Source organism: Homo sapiens, chromosome 2 (genome assembly GCF_000001405.40).
Source record: "Homo sapiens chromosome 2, GRCh38.p14 Primary Assembly".
Taxonomy (NCBI): Eukaryota; Metazoa; Chordata; class Mammalia; order Primates; family Hominidae; genus Homo; species Homo sapiens.
The window spans coordinates 65,096,467-65,112,020 of record NC_000002.12 but is presented as its reverse complement, the minus strand read 5'-3'; the positions used below and the strand labels follow the sequence as shown (position 1 = coordinate 65,112,020).

General features: G+C 40.1%; 1 protein-coding gene across 3 annotated transcripts in view; it reads left to right on the top strand.

Moving 5' to 3' along the window:
- RAB1A (RAB1A, member RAS oncogene family) overlaps positions 1 to 15,554 on the top strand; it is a 43,253-nt gene that overhangs the window by 18,086 nt on the left and 9,613 nt on the right. For all 3 annotated transcript variants that reach the window (NM_015543.2, XM_005264468.3, NM_004161.5), the window contains exons 2-3: positions 7,215 to 7,287; positions 13,955 to 14,050. In NM_015543.2, the coding sequence (NP_056358.1) occupies positions 7,215 to 7,287; positions 13,955 to 14,050 (169 nt within the window). The remainder of the gene's footprint in view (positions 1 to 7,214; positions 7,288 to 13,954; positions 14,051 to 15,554) is intronic.

Here is a 15,554-nt window from a genome sequence, read left to right as displayed (position 1 = left end):
ACCTCTACCTCCCAGGTTCAAGCGATTCTCCTGCCTCAGCTTCCTGAGTAGCTGAGACTACAGGTGCGTGCCACCACGCCCGGCTAATTTTGTATTTTTAGTAGAGGCAGGGTTTCACCATGTTGGCCAGGCTGGTCTCAAACTCCTGACCTCAGGTGATCCACCTGCCTGGGCCTCCCAAAGTGCTGGGATTATAGGCTTGAGCCTCGCCTGGCCTCCTCATAATTTTTTAACCTTTATAAAAACCTTTTCTAAAACCCTTTTTATTTTGAACTAAATTTAGATTTACTGAAATTGTGAAATCAATGTGGAGTTCTTGTATACCCTTCTTTCCGCTTTTCCTAATAGTAACATCTTACATACATGGTACATTTGTCCAAATTAAGAAATAAACATTGGTACAGTGTTAACTATAGACTTAATCTGGTTTCTCTAATTTTTTCACTAATGTTCTTTTTCTGTTCTAGGATCTAATTCAGTATACCATATTGTATTTAGTTGTAGGCCATGTTAGCCACCTTCAATCTGTGACAGTTTCTCAGTCTTTCCTTCTTTTTCGTTATCTTGACAAGTTTGAAGAGTGCTGATAGGTATTTTATAGAATGTCCGTCAGTTGTCTGTCAGTTTGTATTTGTCTGATGTATTTTTTTTTTTTTTTTGAGATGGTGTCTCGTTCTGTCGCCTAGGCTGGAGTGCAATGGCATGATCTTGGCTCAATGCAGCCTCCACCTCCGGGGTTCAAGTGACTGTCCTGCCTCAGTCTCCCAAGTAACTGAAACTACAGGCATGTGCCACCACGCCTGGCTAATTTTTTGTATTTTAGTAGAGAAGCAGTTTCACCGTGTTGCCCAGGCTGGTCTCGTGCTCCTGAGCTCAGGCAATCCACCCGCGTTGGCCTCCCAAAGCGCTAGGATTACAGGTGTGAGCCACCATGCCTGGCCAATATTTTGAGGGATATACTTTGGTGAGGTCATGCAGATATCCTGTTTCTCCTTAGTTTTATCCATTAATTTAGCATTTATCCAGTAAATCTTCCTTGCAGCAATTATTTTTTCTTTTTCTTTTTTCCTTAATTTTTTTTTTAAGAGATGGGATCTCACTCTGTTGCCCAAGTTGGAATGCAGTAGTGAGTTCATAGCTCACTGCAGCCTCAAACTCCTGGGCTCAAGTGATCCTTCTGCCTCAGCCTCTCAAGTAGCTGGGACTACAGGCATAGACCACCACACCCAGCTAATTAAAAAAAATATTTTTAGAGATGGGGGTTTTGCTATGTTGCTCAGGCTGGTCTTGAACTTCTGGCCTCATGTGATCCTTCTACCTCAGCCTTACAAGTAGGTGGGAATTACAGGTGTGAGCCACCACACCCAGCATTGCAGCAATTATTAATGTAGTGCTACTGGTCATTTTCTGTTTTTCTCATTTCTTCAGCATGTGTTATTGACTTGTCTCTTCCCTCCCATTTATAATCATTTATACTGCTATGAATTCATGAGTATTTATTTTGTGAGTTATAATCTAATACGTACTTAATTTATTTTGTGCCTCAAATTGTTCTGGCTTGGCCATTTTTTTTTTTTTTTTTGAGACGGTCTCGCTCTGCTGCCCAGGCTGGAGTGCAGTAGCGCCATCTCTTCTCACTGCAACCTCCACCTCCCGGGTTCAAGCGATTCTCCTGCCTCAGCCTCCTGAGTAGCTGGGACTACAGGCGTGTGCCGCCACACCCGTCTAATTTTTTGTATTTTTAGTAGAGACAGGGTTTCACCATGTTAGCCAGGATGGTCTCGATCTCCTGACCTCGTGATCTGCCCGCCTCAGCCTCCAAAAGTGCTGGGATTACAGGCGTGAGCCACCAAGCCCGACCGGCTCCTGTATCCTTTTAACATGAGGTGCTGTCATCATTTTTTCCCCCTAATATTTTGGCCAAAAATGTTAATCAAGGATGGCACAAATTTTCTGTAGCTGTATCTCACAACGAAAGAGGCCTGATTAAAAATGTAAAACTAAAATGTTCTCTGATCTCTTAGCACATGCTTTGTAAAAGGCACAGTGCTAGATCCTTGTATACGTAGATGAGTAAGTCAGCTTACCTTCCACACCCACAGATAGCTATGTCAAACGTAAGGGTGGAGAAACACAGACCCCAAACTTCTCGAGGGTAGAAAATATGAGGTTATAGTAGATTAGAACTACAAAAAGCTAGAGGAAGTTCTGAACTGGAAACAGTGGATAGGATTTACTAGAATAATTTACGAGGGTGACAATTGTAAATCTTCATAGGTTTCTTTTTTTTCCTTTCTCTTTTTTTTTTTTTGAGATGGAGTCTCGCTCTGTTGCCCAGGCTGGAGTGCAATGGCGCAGTCTCTCCTCACTGCAACCTCCGCCTCCTGGGTCCAAGTGATTCTCCTGCCTTAGCCACCCAAGTAGCTGGGATTACAGGCATCTGCCACCATGCTGAGCTAATTTTTGTATTTTTTTTTTTAGTAGAGACGGGGTTTCACCATGTTGGTCAGGCTGGTCTTGAACTCCTGACCTCAGGTAATCCACCCACCTTGGCCTCCCAAAGTGCTGGGATTACAGGTGTGAGCCACCGCGCCCAGCCAAATTTTTATTGGTTTCTAAACTAGCATAATTTAGTTTTTTTCACTTAAGTCAAAATTATATTATTGTAGGATAAAAACTTAGTGATCCAAATTCATGAGGAATGAAGAATAAATACATTTAAAGTCTTACCATTTGCTAAATTAGTCTTGGCTCTTTGTACCAAAATTCTGTCCTTGTGCTCTGTAATTTTATATTTGTATATTTTCTATCAACATTTTTACTGTGTGGTGTTTTGTAAATTATAAAAACGTTTTAAAGCAAACTCAGAACAATGAATTCTCACGAATATTCAGTATATTTACAGTTGAGAAATAAACTACTTCTGTAGTAGGTAATTTAAAATGTCCCAATGCAAGTTAACGTGTCACTGATCACGCTATTCAAGTGTGTGTCTTTGATAAGGGGAGGTGGGGAAGTTTGTGGGTTTGATTTTATTTGCCTTTCTCATGTGACTGTTGTCATGTTAGTAAACAAATGGTTTGCGAGAGAACCAGTAGTCTTTTGCAAAGATTGTCTTATACAGAGCACTCAATTCTTCATATTATTTATAATGGCTTTAATTTAAGCCTTAAATTATTAGAAACTCATAAATAATTTTTTTATTTGTTTTTTTGAGATGGAGTTTCGCCCTTATTGTCCAGGCTGAAGTACAATGATGTGATCTTGACTCACTGCAACCTCCGCCTCTCGGGTTCAAGTGATTCTCCTGCCTTTGCCTCCCAAGTAGCTGGGATTACAGGCATGCGCTACCATGCCTGGCTAATTTTGTATTTTTAGTAAAGACGGGATTGCACCATGTTGGCCAGGCTGGTCTCGAACTCCCAACCTCAGGTGATCCACCTGCTTCGGCCTCCCAGAGTGCTGGGATTACAGGCTCACTGAGCCACTGTGCCCAGCCATAATGCGTTAAAATAAGAGTGTTATATTTGTAAAACTTAAAAAAATGTAGTGGTTGAAAAAGGTAATTTAAAAAGAATTGACTATTAATTTCTTGAAACCATAATGTAACTTGTAGTGCAATTAGGAAACCTTCATGTTTCTTTCTTTCTTTTTTTTTTTTTTTGAGATGGAGTTTTGCTCTTGTTGCCTAGGCTGGAGTGTGTGATGTCAGCGCACTGCAACCTCTGCCTCCTGGGTTCAAGCAATTCTCCTGCCTCAGCCTCCCGAGTAGCTGGGATTACAGGCGCCTGCCACCACACCCAGCTAATTTTTGTATTTTTAGTAGAGGCGGGGTTTCATCGTGTTGGCCTGGCTGGTCTCGAACTCCTGAACTCAGGTGATCCACTGCACCTGGCCCCCGTTCATGTTTTTTAAAGCTTTATGGTTGCTCTGAAATAGAGTTGTTGATTTTTTTTTTTTTTTTGAGACTCCTCTTTTGCCCGTGCTGGAGTGCAGTGGTGTGATCTGAGCTCACTGCAACCTCCACCTCCTGAGTTCAAGCAATTCTCATGGGTCAGCCTCTCAAGTAGCTGAGATTAAAGCTGCCCACCACCATGCCTAGCTAATTTTAGTATTTTTAGTAGAGATGGGGTTTCACCGTATTGGCCAGGGTGGTCTGGAACTTCTGACCTCAGGCATGAGCCACTACGCCTAGCCTGGGTTGTTGATCTTTAAGGTGATACTTCAGGCAACATCTGAGGCCCAGTACAGTCCTTTACTTCAACTGGCTCCAGTACAGCAAATTCAGGGAATGTTTTTGAGTGTTTACTGGATGCCTGGCGTGGAGTTCAGGGAGATTGGTACATTGAGTCCAGTTGTTGTGTTGAAACTTCTGTTTAAAAACCTCCCTACTAAGTCCCAGCTACTCAGGAGGCTGAGGCCTGAGAATCACTTGAACACCTGGAGGCAGAGGTTGCAGTGAATCGAGATCGAGCCACTGCACTCCAGCCTGGGCGACAGAGTGAGACTGTCTAACAACAAAAACAACACCCCCCAAAAAACCAACCTACTATGGTAGTATCAATGCTGTGATAGTCTTCCTTTCTTCATACAGGTAAATTCTTAACATATACTCATTGTTAATGTTCAGTGTTCAGTATTCTTAAGAGTATTTGGGGCCAGGCACGGTGGCTCATGCCTGTACTCCCAGCACTTTGGGAGGCTGAGGTGAGCAGATTACCTGAGGTTAGGAGCTTGAGAACAGCCTCCAACATGATGAAACTCCCGTCTTTACTAGAAATACAAAAATTAGCTGGGTGTGTTAGCACATGTCTGTAATCCCAGCTACTTCAGAGGCTGAGGCAGGAGAATTGCTTGAACCTGGGAGGTGGAGGCTGCAGTGACCTGAGATTGCTTCACTGCACTCCAGCCTGGGCAACAGAGCGAGACTCTTGTCTCAAAACAAACAAACAAAAAAAGAATATTTGGGGCCAGGCATGGTGGCTCACACCTGTAGTCCCAGCACTTTGGGAGGCCAAGGCGGGTGGATCACTTGAGATCAGGAGTTGGAGACCAGCCCGACCAACATGGCTAAATCCCGTCTCTACTAAAAGTACAAAAATTAGCTTGAGCAACAGAGCAAGACTCTGTCTCAAAAAAAGAAAGAAGAATATTTGGTTTAATTAAGAAGGAACCTTATCAATAGTAGTAAAGTCAGCCAGCTGAACTGCCAAGTACAAATTGTTGGTATTAGGTATCAATCATTTATTAAGGATAATATTCTACAATAGCGATCTTTTTAAAAATTTTAAAATCTCAAACTGGAAAGGATGTCTAGTTCATTCTATGCTTCAGTCCCCTCTTCTGATTTACTTGTTTAGAAGATTTTTGTTTCCTTCTCTGACTTCTATTTTGCTGCTGACTGGCACTTGGGATTTTTAAAAAATTATTTTCCTCATATATAATTAAAGACAATAAGTATAACAATAAGTATAATATGGTAATTTGCTAAAACCCAAACAATGTTTTAAGTAATGCATATCATTATGTAAACCTACGTAATAGTTGAATATTCACAAAGATAATCGCTTATAGAAGTTTTATATCCTCTCTTCTTTGGCAGTGCAATTAAAACAAAAAAAATAAGTTTTATGTCTTGTTTACATGTAAATAATTTTAATCTAAATTGTGACGTGGTTTTCACTTTAGCATATTTTTGAAAGTAAATCAAAAAGGACAAAATACAAAATCATGTATATCTTCTACAAAAACGATATATAAATTCTAAGGTTTTTGTCCTTTTGAAATTGCTTAAAAGAATGCATAGAACTGGTGTCTGAGTTGGGAAGGATCTATGAGGGATTTCCTTGGAGACTGTGGGTGAATAATAATGTTGTCTTAGTTCCATGAAGGAATCTCTGGGGATAGTTTTTGAGTTAGGCCTGGCAATGTTAGAGATACATAAAGAGAGCCTTGTTTTATCACTGGGTGCGGTGGCTCACACCTGTAATTCCAGCACTTTGGGAGGCTGAGGCGGGCAGATCATGAGGTCAGGAGATCGAGACCATCCTGGCCAACACGGTGAAACCCGTGTCTACTAAAAATACAAAAATTAGCTGGGCGTGGTGGCGCATGCCTATAATCCCAGCTACTCGGGAGGCTGAGGCAGGAGAATCACTTGAACCAGGGAGTTGGAGGTTGCAGTGAGCCGAGATCGCGCCACTGCACTCCAGCCTGGGTGACAGAGCAAGACTCCGTCTCAAAAAAAAAAAGCTTGGTTTTCAATGGTTCTGAAAAATGCTTTAATACAAGTGTAGAGTGTTAGTCAAGTTTTGCACTTGGATAAACAGCCTGTGAATTTATCACATTTCTAGTTTATAATATGGGCTTTCAGAAGTTATATGAACATTGTTTTGACGGGAGAATTCAAGCTGGATGCTAGAGAAGGATCGTGAGAACCCCTTCATTGGAGGAGTGCTATGAAATTATTTGATCTTGGAATTTTTTTTTTTTTTTTTTTTTTTTTTTTTGAGACAGAGTTTCGTTCTTATTGCCCAGGCTGGAGCTGGAATGCAGTGGCACGATCTCGGCTCACTGCAACCTCTGCCTCCTGGGTTCAAGCAATTCTTCTGCCTCAGCCTACCAGGTAGCTGGGATTACAGGCATGCGCAACCATGCCCAGCTAATTTTTGTATTTTTAATGGAGACGGGGTTTCACCATGTTGGTCAGGCTGGTCTTGAACTCCTGACCTCAAGTGAACTGCCTGCCTCAGCCTCCCAAAGTGTTGGGATTACAGGTGTGAGCCACTGCGCCTGGCCTGATCTTAGAATTTGAAGGAGAGACTAATATTTCATGGGCAAAAACAATGAAAAGTTACCTTTCTGTATTCTAATACTATAGAGGAGTGGGATTTATTTAGAATGTTTTAAGTATCTTGGGCAGTCCAAGAGTGCGTATCACTTATTTTTCTTTTCCTTCTTTCTTTTTAAGTGGAAGTTCACTGATGTTAGAGATCATAGGTGGCATTGCCTACTTTTTACATAATTTTATCATGTTTAGTGATCTGTCAGAAGGGCTGTGGCTGTTTGCAGTTTTGGCTTAAGCCATGCATGGGCTTTATAGGAGATGTAGTCTTCACAGTGAGTTGTTATTTGTAGCTGTGTTTTTGTTTTTGTATAGCTTATAGCAATGCAGTGTGCTTTTTATTAACATCATTTTCTTTTTCTTTTTGCAGTGATTATTTATTCAAGTTACTTCTGATTGGCGACTCAGGGGTTGGAAAGTCTTGCCTTCTTCTTAGGTTTGCAGTAAGTTGAAATTGAAATGTCTTTACAATTAATGGTACAATTAATGCTATGTATGTTTTCTAGGTAGATAAAATTAAACAGTTTTATTCAGAATAAGTTAATTCTTCCAGAATTTATATATTTAAAGACTCCAAATATACATCCCCAGTGGTATCTTGGACTGTTAAATAGAAAAATATTGTTGCTCTTAAAAGAAATTCAGTGAAGTATGGTTATAAAGTCAGAATGTCTAATACTTTTGGTCAGAGTCAAACAGCAGTTCCAATATAGGCAGCAAGTTAAAGGGGTAGTTGGTGGCCTGTGTTGAAAGCGACTTGATGAAAATAAATCTTTAAATTAAACTTTAGTAGAATAAGAAGAAAAAGCAGAGCCAGGTGACGCAGTGGATCATGCCTGCAGTCTCAGCTACTCAGGGTGCTGAGGGTGGAAGGATCACTTGAGTCTAGGAGTTTTGAGACCAACCTGGACAACATAGCATGACTCTGTCTCTGAAAAAAAAAGTTAATAAAAGAAAAAGTAGGGTCTTGGACAAACTTCGTTGGCCAATGGCATAGTTCTAAATGCTGAAGCTGACAGATAAAGGACTTTTGACTTAACAGAATCCACAGTGTCCTTCATAGTCTTTATCAACTACCTTTAAATTTAGCATGTTTCCTGGCCAGGTGCGGTGGCTCACGCCTGTAATCCCAGCACTTTGGGAGGCCGAGACGGGCGGATCACAAGGTCAAGAGATCGAGACCATCCTGGCTAACACGGTGAAACCCCGTCTCTACTAAAAATACAAAAAATTAGCTGGGTGTGGTGCCACACGCCTGTAGTCCCAGCTACTCGGGAGGCTGAGGCAGGAGAATCGCTTGAACCCAGGAGGCGGAGGTTGCAGTGAGCTGAGATGGTGCCACTGCACTCCAGCCTGGCAACAGAGCAAGACTGTCTCAAAAAAAAAAGAAAAAAAATAAAAAAACAAATTAGCATGTTTCCCTTCTAGAGATCATTGTTTCTCAGAGCATGGACCAAAGACTCCTGGGGGTTACCAAGACCCTCTCAGGTAGCCCATGAGGTCAAAATATCCTAATAATACTAAGATGTTAGTATTTGTAAGGAAATATTTACTTGGTAATAATACTAATATAAAAGATGTTTGCGTTTTTCAGTGATGACATTGGCTCTGGTACAAAAGCATGTGGGTAAAATTGCTGCTGGCTTGGTACACATCAAGGCAGCGCTAAGCTCCAAATTGTACTCATGGTGATGGCATTCTTTACCTCTGTGCCCTCACAGGAACAAAAACAAGCCGTGCCATTTTTATTGAAGATTGTCCTTGACAAAACAGTTAAAATGATTAATTTTTGAAAAATGTTGATCCATGAGTATTCCTTTAAAAATATTTGTGAAGAAATGGGAAGTTCACATAAAACAATGTTTTTTTTTTTTTTTGAGACAGATTCTGGCTGTGTTGCCAAGGCTAGAGTGCAGTGGCGTCTGGCTCCCAGGCTCAAGCTGTTCTCCCACTTCAGCCTCCCAAGTGGCTGGGACCTCCCAAGTGGATGCGCCATCATGCCTGGCTGATTTTTGTATTTTTTTGTAGTGACAAGGTCTCACTGTGTTGCACAGGCTGCTCTCAAACTTCTGAGCTCAAGCGATGCATGTGCCTCAGCCTCCCAAAGTGCTGGAGAAAGCACTTTTTACTGCATACTGGCTAGTGTGTTGGTTATTTTGGAGAAAAGAAAAGCATTTGTAGTTTTTTGAGTTGTAAGCTGAGCTAACTGCTTTATTTTTTTCTGTGGAACACCATTTCTTTTTTTTTTTTTGAGATGGAATATTGCTTTGTTGCCCAGGCTGGAGTGCAGTGGCACAATCTCGGCTCACTGCAACCTCCGCTTCTCGGGTTCAAGCAATTCTTCTGCCGTAGCCTCCCAAGTAGCTGGGATTATAGGCACCTGCCACCAAGCCCAGCTAGTTTTTGTATTTTTAGTAGAGATGGGGTTTCACCATGTTGGCCAGGCTGGTCTCGAACTCCTGACTTCGTGATCCGCTTGTCTCAGCCTCCCAAAGTGCTGGGATTACAGGCGTGAACTACTGCACCTGGACATTTTTTTTTTTTTTTTTAACTTGAAAGAACAGCTAACAGACAGATTAGAACAGAATTGGCTATTTGACAGATTTTCTCAGATGAACTGTGATAGTCATTTCAAGGGAAGTAGCTGCAAGCATTTGTTGGCTGAAATAAAATTTAAGTTTATCATGGAAAATTAGAATTTGAAAAAACTTAGAGTTTACCACTTGACAGTATCCTAAATACATATGACTTTTCTGATGAGTGCCGATATTAATGAAGGTTATTTAAAAAATATTAAATAATGTATAATTCTTTTTATATAACAGTTAAAAATAAAACCATGAGTACTAGAATAAAACATAGGTGGCTCTTTAATCTTGGTTTGTGAAGGTATTTTTTAAAATAAGAAAAAAGCAAGAAATCACTGCTAAATTTGACTATTAAAATTAATTTATCACAGGCACAAAAATGTTAGAAAACTAATGGCAATAGCAAATATATATATATGAGGATTGGTATTCTCAACATATAAAGCACATTTGCACATCAACAAGAAAAGAATATTTCTCCTAATGGAAATAGTGGCAAATACATGAGCAGTCAGTTGAAAAAAGAAGTAATACAAATTGCTGGCTGGGTGTGGTGGGTCACGCCTGTAATCCCAGCATTTAGAGGCTGAGGCTGGCGGATCATCTGAGGTCAGGAGTTCGAGACCAGCCTGACCAACATGGAGAAACCCTGTCTCTACTAAAAATACAAAATTAGCCGGATGTGGTGGCGCATGCCTGTAATCCCAGCTACTTGGGAGGCTGAGGCAGGAGAATTGCTTGAACCCAGGAGGCGGAGGTTGTGGTGAGTCGAGATCGCACCATTGCACTCCAGCCTGGGCAACAAGAGCGAAACTCCATCTCAAAAAAAAAAAAAAAAAAAAAAAAGGAAGTAATACAAATTGCCAATAAATATGGAAAAAAAAAAAGGCTCAACTTTATTTGTAATTAAAGGCCTTTAAGTTAAACTTAGGTGTCATTTAATTTTTATTAAATTGGCAAATATTAAAATTAAGCATAATTCTTAAGCAACTCTCGGTAGGTGGGAAGAATCTAGCTGTAGCCTCAGGCGTTTGTGCCTCAAGGAAAACCCTCTCTGGGATGTCCATTGCTTGAAGTCAAAGGTTTTCCAATAATACCTGGAAACTATTTTTAAAATGCTGATCCCCATACCCTCAAAATATTAATAGAGACAATCGTGAGGACTATAATAAAGAAATGTGCAATAAGCTCTGGGGGCACAGAGGGAAGAATCTATTGGCTGAGGAGTTGAAGAAATTGTTTGGACACTCAGTATTGCCTGAGCTCAAAACTGAAGGATGAATAAATGCCACATGACCTTGGGGCTGGGGAGTAAGTAGGGTTATGCAGAGAGAGATAACTGAGGCTTTTGGGCAGACGAATAGTAACGGCTCAGGCATGGGAGTAAAGGTCATTTAGAGATTTACAAGAATTCAGCATTTCTTTCTTTTTCTTTTTTTTTTTGAGATGGAGTCTAGCTCTGTCATCCAGGCTGGAGTACAGTGGCATGATCTCAGCTCACTATAACTCCCACCTCCCGGGTTCAAGTGATTCTCATGCCTCAGCCTCCCGAGTAGCTGGTATTACAGGCGTGTACTACTGTGCCTGGCTAATTTTTGTATTTTTAGTAGAGATGGGGTTTCACCATGTTGGTCAGGCTGGTCTCCAACTCCTGAGCTCAAGTGATATGTGCACCTCTGCTCCCCAAAGTGCTGGGATTACAGGCGTGAGCCACTGTACCCGGCCAAGAATTCAGTATTTCTATCCAAGTACCTGGGGGATAGATGTGCTACATGAATATTTATTGCATTCATTTTGTTCTCTGCATTTTTTTTTTTTTTTTTTTGGTTTGAGATGGAGTCTCGCTCTGTCGCCCAGGCTGGAGTGCAGTCGTGCAATCTCGGCTCACTGCAGCCTCCACCTCATGGGTTCAAGCGATTCTCCATCTTGGTCTCCTGACTAGCTAGGTTTACAGGCGTGTGCCATCACACCCACTAATTTTTTGTATTTTTAGTAGAGACAGGGTTTCACCATGTTGGCCAGGCTGGTCTTGAACTCCTGATCTAAAGTGAGCCTCCCACCTTGGCCTCCCAAAGTGCTGGGATTACATATGTGAGCCACTGCGCCTGGCCTCTATATACTTCTATAGTACCTGATACTTATTAGGCACTCAATTACAACATAACTTTTTTTTTTTTTTTTTTTTTTTGAGACAGAGACATGCCTTGTCGCCTGGGCTGGAGTGCAGTGGCACAGTCTCGGCTCACTGCAACCTTCACCTCCCGGGTTCAAGTGATTCTCCTTCCTCAGCCTCCCGGGTAGCTGGGATTACAGGCGCCCGCCACCACGTCCAGCTAATTTTTTGTATTTTTAATAGAGATGAGGTTTCACCATCTTGGCCAGGCTGATCTCAAACTCCTGACCTTGTGATCCACTCACCTTGGCCTCCCAAAGTGCTGGTATTACAGGTGTGAGCCATCATGCCCGGCCCATATTTCTAAAAACATTTTCTTATAAAATGACATTGCCATTATCAACCTGCAAAATACAGTTTCCATTTGGTTGTTTTCTTGCTTAGTCTTTTAATCTAGAGTTTTATACCTTATCTTTTTTATTTATATATTTTTTATGTCATTGACTTTTTGCAGAAACTGAAGCACTTGTCCTGTAGATTGTCCAATATTCTAGATTTGTCATTTTGCTTCCTTGTGATGTCCTTATGCTTATTTGTTTGTCCCTCTTTCTGTAATTAGAAGACCTAGAACTGCACTATCCTTAGAGTAGCTACTAGCTCTATGTAGCTATTTAAATTTAAATTAATTAAAATTGAAAAAGTTTGGTGGCTCACACCTGTAATCCCAGCACTTTGGGAGGCCAAGGTGGGAGGATTGCTTGAGTGCAGGAGTTCAAGGCTTCAGTAAGCTACGATTGTACTCTAGCCTGGGAGACATCAAGACCCTGTCCCTTTAAGGGGGAAAAATAATTGAAAAAATCAAAAACTTAGTTTCTTGTTTCACAAGCTGCATAGGGCTAATGGCTACCATATTGGCTAGCACAGCTTATAGAACCTTTCCATTGTCACAGGAAGTTCTGTTTGGCAGTGCCGTTCTCATTAGACCTGATTCGATTAAGGTCCATCTTTGTTGACAGAGTACTTCTTAGGTGGTGCTTTGTGGTTCATATGATGATAGCCTGGTCTGTTCATTCATATATCTTTTCACGAGAAATATTTTTATTCCATTCTGAATAAAATTTCATGGCAGGTACTTGCAAGAAGCAGTTATAATTTTAAAAGTTTAACATTAGGTTAAAAAATTGACAGGAAACATATATTCACAGGAAAACTTGTACACAAATGTTCATGGCAGCATTATTCATAATAGCCAAGAAGTGGAAACAACCCAAATCAATTTATGAATGGATAAAATGTTGTATATTTGTAGTACATGTAATATTATTCAGCCAATAAAATGGGCCAGGCATGGTGGCTCACACCTGTAATCCCAGCACTTTGAGAGGCTCAGGCAGGGGGATCACTAGAGGTCAGGAGTTTGAGACCAGCCTGACCATCATCACGAAACCCTGTCTCTACTAAACGTACAAAAATTAGGCAGGCGTGGTGATGCACGCCTGTAGTCCCTACTACTCAGGTGGCTGAGTCATGAGGATTGCTTGGACCCCGGGAGACAGAGGTTGCAGTGAGCTGAGATCATGACACTGCACTCCAGCATGGGCAACAGAGCAACATCCTGCCTCAAAAAAAAAAAAAAAAAGAAGTACTGTTACATGGTACAACATGGATGAACCTTGAAAACATTCTGCTAAATGAAGGAAGACAGACACAGAGGGCCACATATTTTATGATTCCATTTATACGAAATGTCCAAAATTGGCAAATCTAAAGAGAAAGTAGATTAGTGGTTGCCAGGGAGTGAAGACGGGTTCTTTCTGGAGTGAAGAAAATGTCCTGGAATTCGTGGTTGTAGTTTGCAACCTTGTGAATGTATAAGGACCACTGAATTGTCCACTTCAAAAGGGTGACTTTTATGTTATGTGCATTATATCTAAAAAAAAAAATCATAATTAGGAAGCAAGATTGACTTCTAAGAAAAAGCGGAGTGAAATTGTTGTTTTGTGGTGAATAAATTGGGTGGGTGGGTCGCAAGAGTTTTGCTGATTAGTGATTAGAAAAATTATTCATAATCATTGAAAATATAAAATATTTTTCTATATGATGTATGTAAAGAATTTGGCAAGAGATGATGTTTGGAAAAAATAAAGAATGGCTATTGTAGAGATCTTAAGGAAAGAAACTACAGTTAAGTAGTGCTTTGTAATCAGAATATGAAGTAAGTACTGAAAGTGGATGGAGTGGCTGTTGTCAGCATGTTATACTTTATACATTTCATTCATAAATTTGGACTGTAGATAAAAGTAAACTTTTTTTTTATTTACTCTTGAACAACAGTTTTTTTTTTTCCACTTAGACTTGCATCTGCTCCACTGAACAATACATTTAATTGTTAATTATTTCCCCCTTCAGGATGATACATATACAGAAAGCTACATCAGCACAATTGGTGTGGATTTCAAAATAAGAACTATAGAGTTAGACGGGAAAACAATCAAGCTTCAAATAGTAAGTGACTTGGCTAGTAATTTTTTTGAAATTTATTTTGGTAAATTTGTAATGTATTGTTATTTTGTATATATTTACTATGCTAACAAAATTGAATGTAAAATGTCTTAAGATTCATGTACTTAAGATAGAATGGTAGAATAAGAATTACTTAGATTAAAAATAATATTTTCAAGATTACTTAAGCCTCATTGAATTTTCTATTCATGAAGCAGAGAAACTCATGTTTTAAGTCAAACTTGGTCCTCATCTTTTTCTTTTATCAGTGGAAATCTAAGTTCAAGTTTACCTTGTCCTACACTGCAAATGTTATAGACCATTTTTGTTTGTCTTTTACTGTGCTAAGTGCATGGAACATTAAAGGAACCCTAGGAAGAGATTCTTCATATGTGGCTCAGTTGAAGAGAAGTACTTATGTAGTTCTAAGTATTTTTATTAGATAGTGTGCACCAACTCTGTAGAAACACAGAATTTTGTTGGAAAAAGGAACTTAGTTTTTGTAACATGTTCATTTTACTGCTCAAAAAAACGAATGCTGAAAGATTTAATGACTTGCCTACAGTTACTGGTAGAACCAAGTGACCGAAGCTCTGTCTTCAATATTTTGTGTCTCTGTGCCATCCTATCCCCCTTATCCATCTTTACACCCCCAGCCCCCAATTAAATATAGGCAATTATAATAGTTCAGTTGTGCCTCTTCAGTATGGGTCTGAGTCCTGTCAGTGTGGGCATATCTGTGGTCTTTTAAAAAATAAATCTCTCAGTATTTTTCAGAGTAGGCTATTAGCAAGAAGTAGGCTATAAACACAGGAAACCAGTGACTGCCCCTTTTCATGGAACTGATGACACATGGAATTGGAAGGAGTCCTGCATTAGGAGTCAGAAGACTTAGATTTGTTGTCTTGGTTCTAGTATTTACCTGTTAGAGAATCATGGGTTTGTGTCTCTGGGGAAAAGGCCGAAGTAACCCTGAGACCCAGTTTCCTTTCTAAAATGTGTGTGATGACACCTGATTTACTAATTTATAAGCTAGTTGTGAGAACCAACTGTAATAGCTTTGTGTATGTGACAATACGTGTGAAAGCCCTTTGTAAACTTTTGGGCAGCATATAGATACTACTTATGATATGACATGCCCAGATAAATGGGTGTTTGATAGGTTAAGTTGCTCCCTTTTCTTACATGACTCTGATGAGGAAAAGAAGGTATGTTAACAAAAGATAGGTGGCTGTGGATATTGATATAAGTAAACACACTTGATGTGTCAAATTAGGACTTGCAAGGATTTAGTTTTCAGAAATAGCTTGAAATACTTTCAATCAGTGAACAAATTACCCTCCATATTTTTTCCCACGATATAAGTACAGTCTCAACCTTTTATTTGGCACCATAAAGAGCACATAAAGATCTACCCAAAACTGTACTTTAAAGCACTGGTATGGAATAATTGTATTATGTGTGATCATTGGTGTTTATAAGATTTGGGTGTGTATTCGTGTGTGAA